The sequence below is a fragment of the Homo sapiens genome, chromosome 15, assembly GCF_000001405.40.
Source record: "Homo sapiens chromosome 15, GRCh38.p14 Primary Assembly".
In the NCBI taxonomy this organism is placed as follows: Eukaryota; Metazoa; Chordata; class Mammalia; order Primates; family Hominidae; genus Homo; species Homo sapiens.
In genome coordinates this window covers 101,806,888-101,827,909 of record NC_000015.10, presented here as the reverse complement: position 1 = coordinate 101,827,909, position 21,022 = coordinate 101,806,888, and the positions used below count along the sequence as shown (strand labels likewise).

The window sequence follows — 21,022 nt, the reverse complement described above, 5'->3', positions numbered from 1 at the left end:
TGGTAACTACAGTTGATAATAATGTACTTCATACTTACAATTTCTAGGAGAATAGATCTTCAATGTTTTTACCACAAAGAAATAAGTGTAGGAGATGAATGTTAATTAGCTTGATTTATTTCATACATATACATGTATCAAAGTATCACATTGTTCACCATATATATAATTTTTATTTGTTAACTACACTTTAATAAAACTTGCAGAGAGTTGAGAGAAGAATCTAATATCCTGATAGGTTCTGAAATTGTGTTAACACGGTGTGACAACCAAGTGTGAAGGAGAAAACCTTCTCTGCTTTAATATCCCTCTGCTTCTCCCAGAGTAGTGGCCGTGATGTTCCTCGTGAAATACAAGACTGGTCAACATGGGTAACAGGAATTTGACTCCAAATTCTTTTAATTTTTGCTTCAAGACTAATATAGCCTGGCTCTAGTCACACAGAACTATTTACGTTTTCTCAACCATTACATCCATTTCCAAGACCACAGCCATATTCTGGCAGAAACGTTCCTCACTCGCCACATCTGGAAAGTATTTCAAGGTTTAAGAAATGTTTACCATAGCTGTGAGGTCTTGCTTTATATCACAAGTACTCATTTTACTATCCCTTATGTTGTAGTAAACTGGGTACAAGTCTAACTCACCAAGTTGACATGTCTGAAAGGCAGGGATTAGTACTTATTCACATTGGGATTCTCTGAAGCAACAAAAAAGTGGTCTACAGAGAAGAGCAGGTCCACAAACGGTTACTGGTTTGTATTATGTTAGATACTGAAATTCAGAGTGTTTAGAAATGTCTCTAATAATTTAACATTACAGCAAAATCCAAGTGTTTGATTTTGTATTCTACCAAAGTAGAAGTCCAAGAAGCACTGCGGGAAAAAATATGTAACTAAAATAATTTGAGAAGATAATTGGAGAATCACTGCCCTAGTAGCACATGATCTAAAAAGCTTAAACTACAAAGAGCATTTTGGTACAGTGGGAAGCATTTTGTTCAAACCTCTATACAAAGATTTATCACATTTTATTGTAATTTCAGTTTTATTTAGAGAAGCAACCTAGCATGTTGGAAAGAATATGGGCTTCAGAAACAAAGATTTATATAATTTTTCAGCTTCTTACAAGTTGGTATTGGGCAAGTTGTTTAAATTTCTGAGTCTCGGTCTACCAAATTGCAATTAATGATACTAACTTTACAAGGTAAATTGTGAGGATCAAATAAAGTTTTATAACCATGTGTCCAGTCAAATTAACTTTCATATACATAAATGCAACAAAGTTAGCCCCTATCTTTCTGTTTCCAAGATTCAACAAACTCAATACCTTTTATATTTACACTTAGAATGTTTTCTCACAGTGATTCCTAAAAAATTTTTATTTATAAGCATTCTCTAAATCCTTCTTCATTCTACCTACAGTTCAAAGACATAAGTAATACAAACACTGTAATTCTAAATCATATAAGAGACCAGTAAAACAAAATCAAGCTCCTGGTGGTTTATGTATTATTTTATTTTTAAACTTTTCACATCACATTTTTAAATGACATTACATTGGAAATTATTTACTAAGCTTTGGGTCTTTTGGTCTCCATGTCTTTCATTTCTAATAAAGTGTCTATGAGACTCTTCCATCTTGCAAACTTGACAAATTCTCAAGAAATTTGCTTCCCTTGTTATGGAAGAGGATCAGTTTATACCCATCTCTTTTGAAAAGAAAATTGAGAGAAAAATATAATAACCTATGTTTTTCTATCTTCATGTGTCAATTTTTCTTGCCTATTTATCACATGACAAAGGATGAGAATCATTCCTATAATCACAGAGAGTGATTAATTGCAACCTATGCTGAATTTAAAATATTGCAAAATCAGACTTTTTCTAATGTCTTTCACCTTTCCTTAGGCACAGTGTAATCCTAGCTCAAAAGCCAATGCCAATTAACTTCTAAAATGTCAATAAACTTTTCACAATTATTCTCTCATTTTAGTCAATTCCTTATCCTGGACCCTATCTACTTTGCTTTAGAATATGACTTGTGTGCATAGCAATTCCCACAACAGAACCTTATCTAAAACTAAAGCCAATATCCCATTGTTAAATTTATTTGCATCCTTCCACTTTACCTGTATAGAGAGAACAACATGTTCAGGTACTCTGGGAGTTTCCTGTGTTCTCTAACGTGAAGTGCCATATAATACCCTACCACAGGAAACAGAAGGCTAATTACATATACCTCAAGAGGACAGTGACCAAGTGATACTGCAAAAACATGATAGTTTAAAGGAGCTTATGGGTCATGGGCTTTGCCACTAGAGAACTATTTGCTTTGATCAGTGCAACCAAAAGATACAAAAGTTCATAATAAGACACTAGAGAAAAAGAGGGAAACAAAAGTGGAATATTTTTGTTTAGTATATTTGTGCTGTTTTGTTGGCAATAGTGATAACTACTCATTATAACTAATCCCTGAAAATAAGTAAATGTTAACTCAAAAATTAACTCTAATCATTTTATCATCTCTAGAAAAGCCACTGTGCCAAATTTTTATTACAGTTTAAATGGTAGAAGAATGTATACAACACTTCATTTTTACATAGTCATATGCTGTGTAGTTATGGATATGTACCAAGATTTAGCTGTACAGAAATTCATTCCGGTGTTTAGAGCTTAATAGAAAATGAAACAACTAAAACATCCAGCAGTTGATGATAAATTTAAAAGAGTATTCTACATCCATACAATCGAATTCTCTAAAGCCACTGTAAAGCAAGTTTGATATCTATACAGTTAAAGACAACCACGACACACCATTGAGTGAAACAGTGGATACCAATGCAGCACACACTATGCCGCTGTGCATACAAATCGGAACAAGTAGACAATAAACTTTTTGCAATAAGCACTTTTGACAGTGAGATTGTTGTGCAAGAAAACAAGGTATTTTTACTTTCAATTTTGTACACTTGTGTCAGTCAGGATCCTGCCAGGACAAGAGACGCGACACTCAAGTTAGGTAACTGAAGAAGAGCTTAATAAAGGCACAAAACTGGGTGGAGAAGGGTCAAGAGTGACACTGGAGAGACAAATGGAAACTGGGCTATTGTTGTCTGAACCCACTCATTTTTTATCCGGGGGACAAACAGGGCAGGACAAATAACATCAGGGCAGAAGAAAGTTGGCAACATAGAAGAAATAAGCTGTTATATCTTTGCAGAGTAATCTAAACCCAAAATGGCAGCCTCCGCCAGTGTATTTCACATGAATCACTTAGCGGGAATGGAGGGGAAGAAAAAGGTGATTAACATGAAACATGGCTGTTGAAATCCTCTTTCCTGTAGCTCACCATGAGGACTATTTTGATAACAGCCATTTCATTGCTTCATTAGATGAGCAGATTCTGGGTGGTGCAGTATGTGAAGAGGCCAGTAGATCTAATGGTCATGTCCTAACTCTCATACCTCCATATCTTTAATGTGGTATAATATGACATCTTGTGGAACTACATGTCATGTGTTAATTACTCTGTAATCTTTAGAAAAATGATTGCTTAAGCCCCTGAAGCTTTGTGTTGTAATTATCCAACTGGTGCTTGCTATGAAACTCATTTTTTCTCTTTTCACCACCAATTTTTCTAATACCTGGGTATGCCAGGTAGTATGGCCAAAGAAGTAAGGCTATCTGCACAAAGTCTAGATCTTTTACAGCAAAATCTTTTTCATATTTGCGCCCTGCTCAAAGCTGACAGACTTTCATGGCTTTCAGCATATGGGTTGTGGTAGTATTCCTGATTATAGCCTATGCTTCCTCCAGAAATGGAAGAAATCTACCAGGTATAGTTCTTTCTTATTAGTGACAGAAGGTGCAAGATGCAATAATTTTCCTTTGATTAAAAGAACAAACCTGGAGGCATCACATTACCAGACTTCAAATTATACTACAAGGCGATAGTTACCAAAACAGTATGGTGCTTATATACAAGTAGGCATGTCGACCAATGGAACTGAATAAAGAACCCAGAAATAAAGTCAAATATGTACAGCCAACTGATCTTTGACAAAGCATACAAAAACATAAATTAGGGAATGGACAACCTATTCAATAAATGGTTCTGAGAAAACTGGTAAGCCATGTGTAGATGAATGAAACTGGATCTGTGTCTCTCACCTTATAAAAAATCAACTCAAGGTAAATCAAAGACTAAAATATAAGACCTGAAACTATAAAAATTCTAGAAGACAACATCAGAAAAACTTTTCTAGACATCAGCCTAGACAAAGAATTCATGACTCAGACTTCAAAATCTAATGCGACAAGAACAAAAATAAATAGGACCTAGTTAAACTAAAAAGCTTCTACACAGCAAAAGAAATAATAATCAGAGTAAATAGACAACCTACAGAATGGGAGAAAATATTTGCAACCTATGCATCTGACAAAGGACTAGTATCCACAATCTACAAGAAACTCAAGTCAGCAGAAACTAAAATAATCCCATCAAAAAATGGGCAAAGCACATGAATAGATATTTCTCAAAAAAAGATATACAAATGGCCAACAAATACATGAAAAATGCTCAACATTACTAATCATCAGGGAAATGAAAATCAAAACCACGAGACACCACCTTACTCTTGCAAGAATGGCCATTATTAAAAAGTCAAAAAACAATAGATGTTGGCACGGTTGTGGGGGAAAGGGAAGACTTATACACTGCTGGTGAGAATGTAAATCAGTACAACCTCTATGGAAAACAGTAAGGAAATTCCTTAAAATGCTAAAAGTAGATCTAACATTTGATCCAGCAATCGCATTACTGGGTATCTACCCAAAGGAAAATAAGTCATTATATGAAAAAGATACTTGCACATGTATATTGATAGCAGCAGAATTCGTAATTGCAAAGATGTGGAAAACCAACCTAAGCCCCCATCGACTCATGAGTGGATAAAAAATATATATACCACGGAATACTACTCCGCCATTAAAAGGAATGAAGTAATGTCTTTTGCGGCAACTTGGATGAAGCTAGAGGCCATTATTCTAAGTGAAGTAACACAGGAGTGGAAAACCAAATCTTTATGTTCTCACTTATAAGTTGTAGCTAAGCTATGAGTAAACAAAGTCAGACAGGGTGATATAATAGACTTTAGAAAATCAGAAGTGGGAGTGTGGGAGGGAGGCTAGGGGTAAAAATCTACACGTCAGGTACAATGCACACTACTCAGGTGATGGGTGCACAAAGATATCAGAATTCACCACTATATAATTCATCCATATAACAAAAAAAAACCCCTTGTACCCCAAAACTTACTTGAAATAAAAAAAATTTTAAAGAAGGAAAAAACATTTTCCTTTGCTTTGAAAAGGACCTCCTAGCATGGACTGGGCCATCAAACTCAAAATTTTAATGATGTGACAATTTCACAGTTCTCTATAGAGTTTATTCCTTCTCTTGAGAGCATATGTGTACTACTAAAGTATCTAATACTTGCCACTCCTTCATCTGGTTTGACAGCATAGTGTTATTAATATAATCGACCATTAAGACAATCTATAAAATATCCAAATGGTTCAAGTCTCTTCAGGCTATTTTATGGTACAGTAAGACAGCAAACGTATATGTTGTCCATTCCAAGTGAATGCTGTTTCTAATTCTACTTTGTGAAAGAGATGGAAGAGAAAATTTACCAGATCAATGATCACATATTATATACCCAGGTCTATGTTAATCTGCTCTAGCAAAGGTACCACCTTTGGCACAGTAGCTGCAATTTAGATTACTACTGGGATAAGTTTACAATAGTCCATTGGCATTCTCCAGGAAGTGACTAGCTTTCATAGGTGACACACTGGTGAATTAAATGGAGATAGAATGGGAACTATTTCTGTATCTCTGGGATATTTTTACCCCTTCATAATGAAGTATAATTTTTGAAATACTATTTTAGGCTGGGCATGGCAGCTCACACCTGTAATCCCAGCATGTTGGGAGGCCAAGGCATGTGGATGACTTGAGGTCAGGGGTTCAAGACCAGCCTCATCAGCATGGCGAAAACCTGTCTCTAATAAGAATACAAAAATTAGTTGGGTGTGGCGGCATGCGCCTGTAATTCCAGCTACTTGGGAGGCTGAGCCAGGAGAATCGCTTGAACCCAGGAGGTGGAGGCTGCAGGTCGTGCCCCTGCACTCCAGCCTAGGCAACAGAGCGAGACCCTGTCTCAAAAAAAGAAAAAAAAGAAAAATACTATTTTATACTGGGGGATAGGACAGTTTTGGTGACTTCCCTACCATAATAACTGTAACCCACAGGACAAGGAAGAAGTGTGGAGTTGTACAAACTACCAAGTATATCTTTTCCAATTATACATTGAGGAAATGATGTAAGGATCACTGGGAGGTTGTCATTTGGTGAACCCAACATGCACCTGATCTGAACTAGGACTCTACATACTACCAAATGTGTCCACTCAAAACAGCAGTGATGACCCTTCAGGAATCTGGGAGTAAATGTCAACTCTGAGTCCAACAGTCCTTTAAATATTGTGATATTCCTTATTTTTCCTGGTGTTTAATTCTACAAATAAATGGTCATAGGTAAGTTTGAGCAAAGTACTGGTAGATCATTACTATGTGTATGTGTACTTAGAGTTGTTGCACAGTCCTTCCTTCTACCATTTATTAAATCAGCCATGGTGATGCTATGTCCTCCCACCCCCTCCAAGAAAGGTAGAGTTAGGAATTATTTAATATCTTCTGGAGACTTTAGACATTTTCCTCTATATCGGAGAAATTCTGGCATTTCAACTTCCCTGATTGTAGTGACAGCCTACAACAAAACGGCTGAATGGGTATACATATACAAAAAATTTTTGTAAATTAATTGACCCCATAAATGCTGGGTTTGGTGGTAATGACGTCACCCAGTAGAGGGCCCACAAATAGGGACTGCTTTTAAGTAAAGGAGCTATCCTGATACGTTTTATTGCCAGAGATGCACTGTAGTGCACGGGTTTTGAGAACCAACTCTGAATTCAAACTAGCAGACTTTGCGTCCACACTTACTACTTCATAACCTTGATGATATTTAGCAACTCTGTGCCCCAGACACCTCCTCTCTAAAATGGGGATAGTGAGATAATGAATCTGCATCATAAGATTCAAATAAAGCACCTAGAACAGTACCTAGACAATTAGAAGCACTGGATGGGTAACATCAATTATTATCTCCCCTAGGACACAAACGATGAGAGATGATCAGAGCTTCATTACCTCACGATGGAAACCTCAATTAATAGGTTTGTTTCTATATTTTAGTAACCATGTTAGATTAAAAGCCACAGAATTTTGGGAAACAGAATTTTCACACATCTTTTATAAATCTTTCAATTTTTTGCTAAAATATTTGAAATTTATCCTTCTGAGAAAGAGGCATAAATATCTTAGTGTAACTTATGTAATTCACCAATCACATTTTTGTTTCCCAAGAGAAGAAACATCATCCGCTGTAAGTAATGGAATGAACTTCAAACCTATAAAATAGAATTGAATCAAGGGTCTCTGTGAATACTACCATAGACAAAAGAACACTGTTTAATAATAAAGTTCAAGAATTGTTTTCATAATTAAAGGAATGATTTAAAATTCAGCTTTGGTAGGACTTGAACAAGAAATATGTGGTGGTGGTAGAAGTAGGGAAGGATTCAGAAATGATAAAGATGGAAGAGTGGAATATGAACATCAAATCAAAAACAAAATTGATCTGAAAGTGAAAGGGCACTGACCTAGCAATCAGAGTCATGGTTTCTGGTGCCTGGCTCTCTTTGATGGTTTCCAGCTATGTGCCTTTGGGCAAACTAGTCACTGCTCAATTCTTGGATTTTAGTACGTGTAATTTGAGGGGATTGGAACAGATGGTGTTGGTAATCCACTCTAACTTTAAATTTGAATATTCTAAATATAGGACTAACAATTTTGTAGATGGCCAAAGAAGCCTGATAAGGTGGCAAAAATATGTAGAGACTGGAGCAATAGAAAGCAAACACTTTAGGAACAAAAAGAATTAAAATCAAGAGAGCTAGATACTAAACAGGCCAGGCGCGGTGGCTCATGCCTATAATCCCAGCACTTTGGGAGGCCGAGGCAGGTGGATCACTAGAGGTCAGGGGTTCCAGACCAGCCTGGCCAACATGGTGAAACTCCATCTCTACTAAAAATACAAAAATTAGCCAGGGGTTGTGATGGGCGCCTGTAATCCCAGCCCTCAGGAGGCTGAGGCAGGAGAATTACTCGAACCCTTGAACCGGAGAGGCAGAGGTTGCAGTGAGCTGAAATCATGCCATTGCACTCTAGCCTGGGTGACAGAGCGAGACTCCAACTCAAATAAGTAACTAACTAACTAAATAAATAAATAAATAGGAGTTAGGTGGTAAACAGATTGAATGTGTAGTTTGTCTATCAATAGAATAATCTGTCCAGTAGAAAAAATAAAAGACATAGTATTGTTATTTGTTCAATTACATGGCACTCACCTAGAACAAGGTCTTTCAAAGTGGTAGGTTACAAAAGACATTAAGATTTAATATTTAGCACTTTGATGCACACTGTGCCAAAGGATAACATCACTTCTAATTTAATGGTGAAATTGTTACCATGATTTCATAAATTTTCAGGCATATAGTATGGCCTGAGTCTTCAGTATTTCTCTGAAATTGCAGTTTCTTTTATGCAATCAGCATGAGGAGTAATCCATAGTTACACATCTTGACAGCCAAGCCATTTACAAAATCTTTGTAAAATGCGCAAGACGACTGCACAGTCTCCTCATTGCCACTTTCATGTCTTTGTTCCTGAATGTGTAGATAACTGGATTCAGAAAAGGAGTAATAAATGCATCAAAAATAGCAAGATATTTATCCAGGTGTGATGTGGGAGAAGGCCATGTGTAGAAAAACATCAGTGGCCCAAAGAACAAGATGACCACAGTGACATGAGCTGACAGGGTAGAGAGGGCCTTGGCTAGACCACCAGAAGAATGTTTCCAAACAGTGAACAGAATGAAGATGTAGGAAATTACCAGCAAGACAAAGGAGCCCACAGAAATGAGTCCACTATTGACAGTGACCATGAACTCCAGTTCTTGGGTGTTGGTACAGGCAAGTCTGAGGAGCCGAGGGAGATCACAGTAAAAACTGTCAAAGATATTAGGACCACAAAAAGGTAAATCTACCACAAAAACTAATTGGACCAATGAGTGGATAAGGCCAATGATAGAGGAAGTGGCTAAAAAGTATAGACACATTCTTGGGCTCATGATGGTCAGGTAGTGGAGAGGTTTACATATGGCCATGTATCTGTCAAAGGCCATGGCTATGAGCAGCACCATCTCAGTGCCCCCAAGAGCATGGCTAAAGAAGATCTGAGTAATACATCCCCGAAAGGAGATGGCCTTGTGCTTCTTGAAAATATCACAAATCATCTTAGGGGCTGTAATTGAGCAAAATGCCATATCAATGATTGAGAGGTTAGCCAGGAGGAAATACATGGGGGAGTGCAGATGAGCATCCATGGTTACAGTGAATACAATGACAAGGTTTCCCATCATGCTCGCAAAGTAGAACAACAAAGAGAAAACAAAAAGTAGAAGCTGAATCTCCCGTGAGTTGGTGAGTCCCATGAATACAAATTCTGATACCACAGAGTGATTCATTCCATTCATTGCCTCAGACTCCAAGATCAGTTTTCATGTTACTTACCTGAAGGAAGAAAGAAAATGAGAAAGAATTACCTAGGCAAGTATTCATGTTCAAGAAAGAAAGCCTCCAGCCATGAAAATAACTATCATATTAACATCTTACACAGCCAAATAACCCTCATCACATGCACCCTGGACTTCCACTTAGAGGGGTCAGCTGGCTGCTATTTGGCATTATGGTTTTCAAAACTACTACTACTAAATTAATTCCATCCTTAGACCTAGCTCTCCTCTGCTTTTGTGTTACATGAATATTTCCTATTTGATCCTTCCCAGGATGTTCTATTTGGGTGAGATATAAGGTCATCTTTAAATACTTTTCACTATGATTTCTTATCAATGGATATGATTTCAGCCAGTCACATGAGCCACCTAACAATTACTCATGCACAGCATACAGCTTTCAAAGTCTCTATTCTATTATTTATATTGCTTGATTAGACTTTAGAAGTTTCCCTTCCTTTTTTAAATTTCAAAATTTCTTTTATTCTATTCTCCAGTTCACAAAATCTAATTCTCAAAATCCCAGCCAAATTCTCGCTTATGTGTGAAATCTTCCCAATGTGCCCCAGACTCTGTATTCTCATCGCACCATTAGCATTTATTTTACTCTGCTTCTCACAGTTATATAAATGTCCATTTCTCCAATTAAAATGTAGACTCTTGGGTATAGAAGCCGTAACTGATCCACAACGGTAGCTCCCACCATCATCACAATCACCACTTGTGACCAACACAATCAGTCACATAATAAGTGTTTCACACTTGTTGAATGAAGGCGTAAATTAATGAGACTGAAGAATGACACTGGAGTCAAGAGAGTACCTCATAATTCAGTAAGGTTTATATTAATAGTATATTAACAGCATGCCAGTCAGGAATTATCACAGTATCCCTATTTCAATCCTGTACTTATTTAACCACTCAAAGAAACATTTGCATAAGATGTCATAAAAATAAATATGGGGTCTTATTATTCATTTTAAATAGTCAATAAAAGGCTTCTAATATGGTTCAAAATGGAAGAAACCACTTCATTTTATAAATGATTTTCAATCTCAATTTTTATATAAAATATGTAATGAGCTGAAACAAATAATCTCCTCTAATGTAGATAATACACCCCTAGAGGATACCATAAGATAAAAACCATGTCACATAAAGGCAGTCTCTCTTTTTTATCAAAATACATTTGGAGCGAATAAAAGGGACAGAAATAAAATATGGACCGAAAAGAACCAGACAGTGTCTGTATCTGCACTCTGGAAGAAGATGATGATTGAGTAATGGAGATTAAGTCCAGAAAATAAACTAAAGAATGGTGGCCAGGTCCCAGCATGGGGAGGTGTGACAATATTATGATTCTTTAAGGATGAAGAACAACTGCCCGAAATAAACCATTAGAGTTTCATTGTTCAATGAAGTGTTCCTGATTTAGTCCAACATTTATGTTTTATAAATAATTCATAAAGAAAGAAATATAGGAAGCAATCTACTCAGCCTCACAAAGGTAATTGGTGGGAAAATTTATACTGGGACCAAGAACTTTTTACTCCCATTCAAAGTTCTTTACAGTAAATACTTGTTACATTAGTTTACTATTGCTGTTGTAACAAGCTACTACAAATCTAGTGGCTTACCACACACACACACACACACACACGTTATATTCTTACTGTTCTAAAGTAAAGAAGCCTAAGATGAGTTTTCAGAGCTAAAATCAATAAAATGAGTTTTCAGAGCTAAAATCAAGGTGTCAACAGAGCTGCATTCCTCCTGGAGCTTCTAGAAAAGAATCCGTTTCTTGCCTTTTCCAGCTTCTAGAGGATGCCTCCATCCCTTGCTTGGCTCATGACATTCTGCCTCTTAAAAGTTCATCACTCCAACCTCAACTTCTGTCATCGCATCTCCTCTGACTCTTCCTCTTATAAGGACCCTTGTAATTCATTGGGAAGTTCCAGATAATCCAAGTAAATCAAGATTCTTAAATTATTCATATCTGTACCTTTTTGCCAGATCCAGGAATTAGGACATGAACATTTTTGAAGGCCATTATTCTATACAGCACAGCTTTCTTACTGTGAACAGGTGTTTTAGGGGGAAAAGGAAAATCTTAAAGTAATGAATCTGACAGAGGGATTTCAAGTAGCCTGTCAGGAAGGTGGAAGAGATATTGAGGGAATGGGGACAGATGGTGCATCCTGACTTTTGCTCTGTAACTACACATTAGTGACTTCTGACTCCAGTTACATGTAGGACCAAGCATGGCCACTAATGACTATCAATAAGGAAACAATGATCATTAGTCAACCAACATGTTCTTTAAAAAATAGTTATTCTAGGTATATAATTATCTCCTGAGTGGTTCTCCGAATGATTTTTGTTCATTAATTCAAAAAATATCTTCAGTGCCCAGGATTCCAGATACAATTCCAGAGGTTGGGCATATAGCATTGACAAGAATTCTTGCTTTTGTGGAATCCATATTCACCACAGCAAATGCAATTTTTGTGTCACATACAGATTTTCATTCTACAGAAAGGGTAAGAACATTTGAAGAAAGTCTATAATTTATCAACTACCTGGGGAGTCTCACTCTAATTTCTACTTTCAGGAGATCTGTTTTCTGACTTCTTCCTTTATCTGAATTCTTACCACTATAACTTCTATTACACTATTTTCCAGTGGGTTTTATCCAATAAATACGATTGGTTTTATCTCCCCACATATATATATATATAAAACTGGTGGGGTCATGTTTCACATACCATGATTCTTTGTATTGACTGTAAAGCAACTCAAAAACAATGCTGGGGAGATTTGTTGGCTTATTCACTCATTCATTCGACAAGTATTTATGCTGTATCTATCAAGTGCCTAACAATGCACTAAACCTTAGAGATGATATAAAGGTGAAAATATATACATTATGTTTAATAAGAAATTGAACATAGATAAAATGAGAATCTAAGGTTATCAGAGCAATTTTAAGTAAGAGTTGTGCAAACCATTCTGTGATTTACATCTAAATCCTCATGACCTGAACTATAAACTGACAAACACTTGTCTAGAAATGGGTAACAAAGACAAAAATAAATCCTTCTGATCACTAAGAGAAAAAACAGCCTTCTAGCAAAGATGCTATTAAGGCTTCCATGAAGTAGGAATAATAAAAATATGCTGTGAAGTAGAAATATATGTGGTGCTTCCTCCAAACTGAAATTTGAATAGCAAAAACTGACAACTCAGAATAACAAAAGAAATAGTGGTAAACTTCACTTTTAATGAATTTACAAGGAAAAGACAAAACTAAAAGAGGGTTATTAGGTCATTCAAAAAATATGAGATTCTGTGTAAAGTTTACTCAAAGACAGAGCCTACACAGAGGGCAAGGTGGATTTTTTTAAGTTAAATACATTTTTTAAATCAGAAAGGAAAGAGATGAGAAAAAAAGAAAAGGGGAAATTGAATTATTGAATTCAACAGGAGACTAAGATGGTTCATTAAGTGGAAAATTGTGATAAAGGGGAAGAAATAGCAAAGTAGGAGTTTGTGTAGATGTGCAATATTAAAAGCTCCAGTGCCCCAAAATATTTCCTTTAACATTAGAGCTGCTTTCTTTTAGGTTAAAAAACTGCAGCATTAGAGTTGTTTTCCTTTAGGTTAAGATACTAAAGTCCCTTGTTTTGCTTACATTGCTACAGGAAGGATACTCCATTGAGCATTGCAGACAAAAAAAATAACAGCTGGCTTTCCTTAGTGGAGATCGCATGCATGCAAGACATGAGACTCTTAATGATGAAGAAATAAGTGATCCATTTTTAAGCTGAGTCATTACCCAAGAAGGATTATCAAGGGCTGGTTGCTTCAGGAGACAGAGTAATAGCTGAAGGGCTGGGTAGGAGAATAAGAGTCGCAGGAATGAAGCCAGAACTGAGTAAAAGAATAAATTGAGCTAAACACAAAATTTACCTACTTCACAATCCCTCATAAAGCAAAGATGAGAAAATAATACAAAGAGCAAATGGCAGCAGATCTAAAAATTTACTCAGCTTTTGTCCTCTTGTCTTCACATTTCTTAAGTATTAAGTATTCATCTTTGGGTCGCTGAATGGCTTCCAGGATGACACATTGGGTTATAAGTGTTTGATTATTTTGATGCATCCCAAACCCTCCATGGAAAGAATGTGTTCTCTCCTAAGGCCATTGCCATTAGGAGATATCCTGCTTTGAGTTCCCTAGTTCTGGCCTGGCTATTGCTCTCAATAATTACAATGACATGAATTATAGTTATCATCTATTTACACTAAACAATTGTGATAGTGTGACAAATACAGATAGTCTAGCATTTGATGGAATCATTTAAATTTAAATTCACCTAACTGGAATTGCATGGGATCGGAATTGGGCAACTTCTTAGAATAGATTTATGATCACTACATTTTAAAATTTTCTTAAAAAGATGTTCATTATTCTCAATCAATAAACTCAATGAGCTGGAAAAGATCTGAGACTACGTTCTGAACCAGTTCCTTTATTTACCCATCCAGGAAATGTCAGTTTTTCCCTCAGTTTTCAAGGTTCAAAAATATATTTCTTAGCTATTATGAACAGGTATCATGCATTTTTTTTTTTTTTTTTTGAGACAGATTCTCACTCTGTCACCCAGGCTGGATTGCCATGGCACAATCTCGGTTCACTGCAACCTCCACCTCCTAGGTTTAAGCGATTCTGTAGCCTCAGCCTCCCGAGTAGCTGGATTTACATTCATGCACCACCACATCTGGCTAATTTTTGTATTTTTAATAGAGATGAGGTTTCACCATGTTGGCCAGGCTGGTCTCGAACTCCTGCACTCAACTGATCTGTCCACCTCGGCCTCCCAAAGTGCTGGGATTACAGGTGATGAGCCACCGTGCCCGGCTGTGTCCTGCTTCTCATTAACATAAAAGTCCAAATGTTCTCTTACAAAAAGGAAATCTCCATCCTTTCAACTAAGCTGATATCCACTTAATTCATCCCCTGTGGATATAAAGAAGTTGTCAGGTACTCTGTCAGATAAGTGCTTAATATCCTTGATGTTGGTAAAAGCAAATAAAGATCACTCATCTGTACCCTCTAGTTTTATTCACCTCAATTTGCTTTAGCCTTCCTCAAAGGATCCATCTTCTACCTCTTTATCTTGTCACTTTTGTCTAATCACTCCATTTCACTACCTAAACTTCTCATTATATAGACCTAAAAATTTATCATAAATGTTTTGAAAACATGAACAAGTATAGGAGGATTTATTGCAGGTTGTTAAACATTACACATTTAGTTTCCTACTTTTTTTTCCTCCATTCTTCAATCAACTAATTTTAACAGACACTACATTTTTTTAGTTCAGGGTGAGTTAAAAACCCAGATGTTTTTCTTCCAAATGTTTTCAATTATTCCTTCTCCATCTTGAGTCCATGAAACTGGAATTTCATCTTTTAAAGCTTCACTTATGACTAGTATCTGATGAACTTTCTCCTTTTTATATCTTGGGTCTTCTCTAGAAATAGAAGTAAACAACAAGCTTGTTAGGAAGACAACAAGCATGTTTGTCTTCATTTTCAGGGCTAATAGATTTCCCCAAAAGTCTCTGGATACCACAAACAACTTTACATGCATCCTAGTCCTGCCCTGAACCAAGCCACAGTGCAGACTCCAGACTCTGTAGTGTACTCCTTTGCACCTTTGGATCTCCAAGTCATTTCTAAGTTTTAGTTAAAAACTAAGGTTAATTCTTGTTCTCCCTTTCCAGGTAATTCATATTTATGCCTTTCCTGTGATCACCATTTCCCCACCACAACCACCTGTTTCTTTCTGCCCCAGGCTAACAAACTGTTACCTGAGTCTTTCTTGCAGCTGAAGTTTATCTAGTTTATCATGCTCCCATTGTGAACTTCATGCCATCCTTACCTTGTAGCTATTTACAGACTATCATCTCAAGCACACAGAGGTATTTAAAATCTTTATATAAATGGAAAAATAGCTAATTAACTGCACTGGAGGATAGTGACCTAATAAAGCTATAATGACCTGGGACTGCAACTCTAAAGTCAATGAGCCAAGAAATTGTCTCCTAGAAATACATGCAAAGCAACAAAGAAGAAATGTTGATAATGAGTCACAGGAGAAAGGAATGACTCTAGAATCTCTAAGAAAAATCAATCTCCACCACTTTATATTTTTCTGGATTATTTTTCTTTTTCACTTTTATTTTAAGGTCAGGGGTACATGTGCAGGTTTGTTACATAGGTAAAGGTGTGTCATGTGGGTTTATTGTGCAGATTAATCACTCAGGTATTAGGCTTAGTACCCATTAGTTATTTTTCCTGATCCTCTCCCTCCTCCCAACCTCCAATAGGCCCTAGTTTGTGTTGCTTCCCTCTATGTGTCCATGTGTTCTCATCATTTAGCTCCCACTTATAAGTGAGAACATGTGGTTTTTGGTTTTCTATTCCTGAGTTAGTATGCTAAAGATAATGGCCTCCAGCGCCATCCATGTCCCTGCAAAGGACACAATCTTTAACAATTTAAATCCTATCATGATAAATGAAAGTGTCTCTAGATAATCTAATAATATCCACTTCCCAAGATATTCATAAAAATCATATGGAATCCTTTTAAATTTTATCTATAATGAATAAAGTAGGCAAGTAAAAGAGTAAGCTATAAAAAATTTTAGTATCTTATAATGTGACTTTTATAAGTTATAAATGTAGCATATTGTACCAAGCACTTTGAAGATATAGGCTTTATCTAATTCACATTCATTTTTTCCAAAGCAACTTGCAGTTTCCTGTAATCAAAGAAGACTATATTCATTGAATTTAATAAAAGAATCCAGCTGTTGAAGTAATTCCATTATCTTTTACTGTGTCTGTCATCAGGAAGCAGGAATAATATGAATAAGGATTGATTTCAAAATATTAAGAGGAAGCAACGGGACTTGTGTGGTTTTCTAACCTTAGGTGTAATCATGTGTCTCTGTCCATGGTGCTTAATGATCATTGGTTTACAACAAGCATTGATCAATTGATCAACAAGCAATGATCACTGGGTTACAACAAGCACTCTTGTTTTTCTTGTTTATCCCCTTTAATTTCCGTTCTCAATCCCTTTCTCTCAAAGACAGTCATTCTGGTGTTTTTAAGTGTGTCTTGCTTTTGTGTTATCGTGAAACATGTAGTATTGTTTGTATGCATATACATAGAAAATGGTATTCTATATCTCATTCTGATTCTTTTTTTCCACTTGTCTCATGTTGCTATATGTACATCTAGTATATCACTTCTAAATACTGCAGAGCACTCCATGGTGGGTATGCACCACATTCTGCCTTTCTGAGTACTCAGATCACCCCCAAGTTTTTCAGGGTCACTGATTGGATTAAGCAAGTATTGGACCTTGCTTCTAACTTCAACCCTCACATACCAACAATGTTAATATTTAGCTAGAAGACACCAATGTAATAATACCAGTTGTAAAAAATTAAAATACTTGCACACTGGTTAGAATATAGCCACTGTCACAAGCCTCTTAAGGTTCCAACCGCTTCCAAGTTGCTTCCTCAGAACTCCTTATGAATCAGCTACTAAAAGTTAATGCCTGGAACAGCAGGAGTCTCCAGGATCTTGCTCCAACTCTGGGACCAGCATCTGTTCTGATCAATGCAGTTGTTTAATATTTTGAAGATCATATCTTCCCTATACCAAAACCAACACTGCCGTGGACACCTTCGACATTGTCTCCCTAGAGATCAGCAATGACAAGGATCATGTCTTTTAAAGCATTATGAGGCATTGATCTTTTGAAGTAGTGAGAATTATTTTATTAACCACTGTTTTGTGGTATGGGAAAAACTGCAAATAAAGCCAATGACTGATCTAAATTAATGAATAGTTCCAACCCCAGAAATTATATCAAAGTGGGGGCACAAATATCATGTTCTTCTCCATAGTCCTGACCCTAGACTTAGGGTTTTAAAGAGCAGTCATTAATTCATCCATGTTGCTGTGCTAGCAATTACACATCAGAAATTCATGACAAAATATTCAAATGCCCACTCATACAGAATTAGGCCAGAGGGTGAAATATAGAGGCACTAGGAACCGGCTAAGATGGTTATACTGCCAAAGATTCTCCAGTGAGAACTCCTAGGGAAAACTAAGCATAAATAGACAAAGATTTGAAATACAAACATCAGTTCTGAAGTCATAAGACTAGGAAACTCAAAAAGAGAGAGGCCAAGAGTTCCATCTGTATAGAAGCAAAACGTAACTGAATCAAAGAAGGAGCAAGAGAAGAGGACGTAGAACAATCATGTACACAGCTTGCCTTTACAATCCTACCGTGGTGGGATGGAGTTGAAATGAACCCCAAGAAAAATCTATATGCCAAGAAAATCTCTACCCCAGTCATACCCCCAAGAAAAATCTGTTACATACTCAAATTACAACAAACCATCATCTATCCCATAGATAACTTGGGGGAGCTTAATTAGGAAGAAAGAATGCAGATGCCATATGTAACATCTAAGAAGTCACTTCTCTTGTATCAAGATCAAATAATAAACCAATTAAGCAAATTTAACATCACCAGCGATGCTGTGTGGATATTATGTACTCCCTGTTATCACGTGATTAGAAGATCTTTTCATCTTTTGGGTATTCTTTTAAAAAATCCAGAACCCATGTATAACTATAATAAAAAATGTCAGACAAACTCAAATTGAGGGACATTCTACAAAATATCTGACCAATATTCCTCTAAGATGTGACACCATGAAAAGCAAGGTAAGACTGAGAAATTGTCACAAACCTCAGAGGAGATTAAAGAGACCTAATAGCTAAATGTAATGTGATATTCAGATTGGATTCTGAAACATAAAAAGACATTAATGGAAAAAATTGGTGAAATTTGAATAAAGTCTAGAGTTTAGTTTACAGTAATGTATTATACCAGTGATGATTTCTCAGTTTTGGAAAATGTACCATGGAAATATAAGGTGATAACATTAGGGGAACCTGAAACTTGGTAAGGGGCATATGGGCACCCTCTGGACTATCTCTGTAACTTTTCTGTACATCTAAAATTATTCCAAAATAAAAGCTTCATTTTAAAACTATCCAAAGAATCAGAAAAAGAAATGTAAAATAGGACTGAATAGATTAAGTGAAAATCATGCTTGAACATCTGTTGAAACTCTGCTATTTGACAGTCACTCAAGATACAAGGTGAATCATATCTTATGTAAGTAAAAAAATTAACAGTCCAGTGGGAACACCAGATTTATCAACTATGCAAATATGTTCTAAAATGATAGAAGACAGCAGAAGACCAGGAGTCTGTCAGTCTGGGTTCTAGGATCTGGATTTGGATCTTCCATACACTACTTTTATCATCTTGAACTAATTACTTTCTTTTCTAGTAGTCGAGAGTTTCCAAAATGAGGAAGGACTGAAATTATTTATAATTTACTTTAAAATTCAAAAACTCTATGATCCTACTAAGTAACCACATGTACTTTCAGTGCCAACATGTCTGTCTACACTCTGTATGATGCAGGAGCTGGGGCTCTGCCAACTTTCTCTTTTTTCTTTTCAGCTTCTCCTTGCTTGGATTCACCATTAGGGATACTAGAGGGAAGTTGCAAGGCTGGAGATAGAAAAAGGGACTTTCTTCTTCCTGTTTGCCTCCTCTCTGCCTGCTGTGCCTGTCAGCATCACCCAACCACACTCATCACCTCAGCAACCTTGGTTGTTTTCCAAAGCAGCAGCTGAATCCAGTTAGTTTTTCCGATGCTAGAGGAGCTCTGCTCTTCACACCCTCCTCAGGAACACCTGCACCAGCCAGCGGTGCCTCTTCCTCAGGGGTGTTATGACACAGAGGGCCTCCTCTAAGCTCAGAGACACTAGCACCAGCCAGGCAGCAACCGCCTCTGCTGAGATATTTGAGTTTCACCTCCACAGGTTCTTCCTCCAAGCTTTAAGAGTTTGGGGTGTTTTATTTATTTAAGTCCTAGTAGTTCTAACCTCTTTCCTTTATCTCCCCCTTTCTAGGGGTGAAAGCTACTTCCTACAAATGCTACATTTTTATATTAAAGTTCACTTTTTTCAAATAACTAGTTAACAACTGTCAAAATTATGAAGTTACAATTTTAAAGATCAATTGGCTTTTATTAGTGATTCTAGAATTGGGCAATACCTCGTTCTATCAAATAGAATAAACGTTCTCAATGAGCTGAGCAGAAGAGCTTGGCTTTGTAGGCAGAAAAAGGCTGAAGACAGCAGAATCAGAGACAAAAAATGGATTGGCCTTTTCAAAGATACTTTAAACAGAAGGGACTTTTGTATTATAGTGACTCAGCCTGACTGTAATGTGGGTTTTTTTTGGGGGGGGGGGGTTGGGGGGTGGTTGAAAATGGCTAATTTTGAAGTTCAGTCTGATTACGTGGCACCTAGCACAAATGACTCTGTTCTGGTTTGCCTGCTGTATTAGTTCATTCTACACTGCTATAAAGAAATACCCATGACTTGGTAATTTATAACGGAAAGAGATTTAATTGACTCACAGTTCTGCATGGCTGGAGAGGCCTCAGGAAACTTATAAACACGGTAGAAGGCAAAGAGGAGCAGGCATCTTCTTCATAAGGCGGCGGGAAGGAGTGAGTGCAAGCAGGGGAAATGCCAGTAGCTTATAAAACCATCAGATCTCGTGAGACTCACTCACTATCACGAGAACAACGGGGGGAAACCATGTTGTTCCCATAACCCAATCACCTCCCCTCAGGTTCTTCCCTTGACACATGAGTATTATAATTCAAGATGAGATTTGGGTGGGGACACAGAGCCAAACTATATCACCTGGTTGGCTGGGGCCTAATACAGGAGGCTAGCCCAAAACAGTAGCTCCCACAAAATTTATTTAACACAATTTAATACTTAGTTAATTCTTTATACCAAAATTCCTCTTTAAAAAAAAAAGTGTAGTTTCTCTTTATGGACTTTGAAAAAAGATAAACAAATAAATAGCTAACAGATAATGAGCTGAAAAAATAAAAAAAAAACTTAGCTACATAGTAAGACAAATCAGTAAGTCTAGTAAAAATTAACCTTTATCTTTAAAGCAAGATAATCTACCTTAAATGGAAAAAATAGAAAATGGGCAATAAACCACACACCGACATTCAAAATGGATTGTTTAACATTTAGAGTAATTCTATTTGACA

General features: G+C 36.6%; 1 protein-coding gene across 1 annotated transcript; it reads right to left on the bottom strand.

Moving 5' to 3' along the window:
• Window positions 1-7,712: 7,712 nt before the first annotated feature.
• On the bottom strand, window positions 7,713-15,708 carry OR4F15 (olfactory receptor family 4 subfamily F member 15). Its single transcript, NM_001001674.2, has 2 exons — window positions 15,638-15,708; window positions 7,713-9,760 (listed from the first exon to the last, which is right to left on the bottom strand). Exon 2 carries the CDS (start codon window positions 9,721-9,723, stop codon window positions 8,785-8,787), a length of 939 nt encoding a protein of 312 aa, NP_001001674.1. The 5' UTR covers window positions 9,724-9,760; window positions 15,638-15,708; the 3' UTR covers window positions 7,713-8,784.
• Window positions 15,709-21,022: the final 5,314 nt, after the last annotated feature.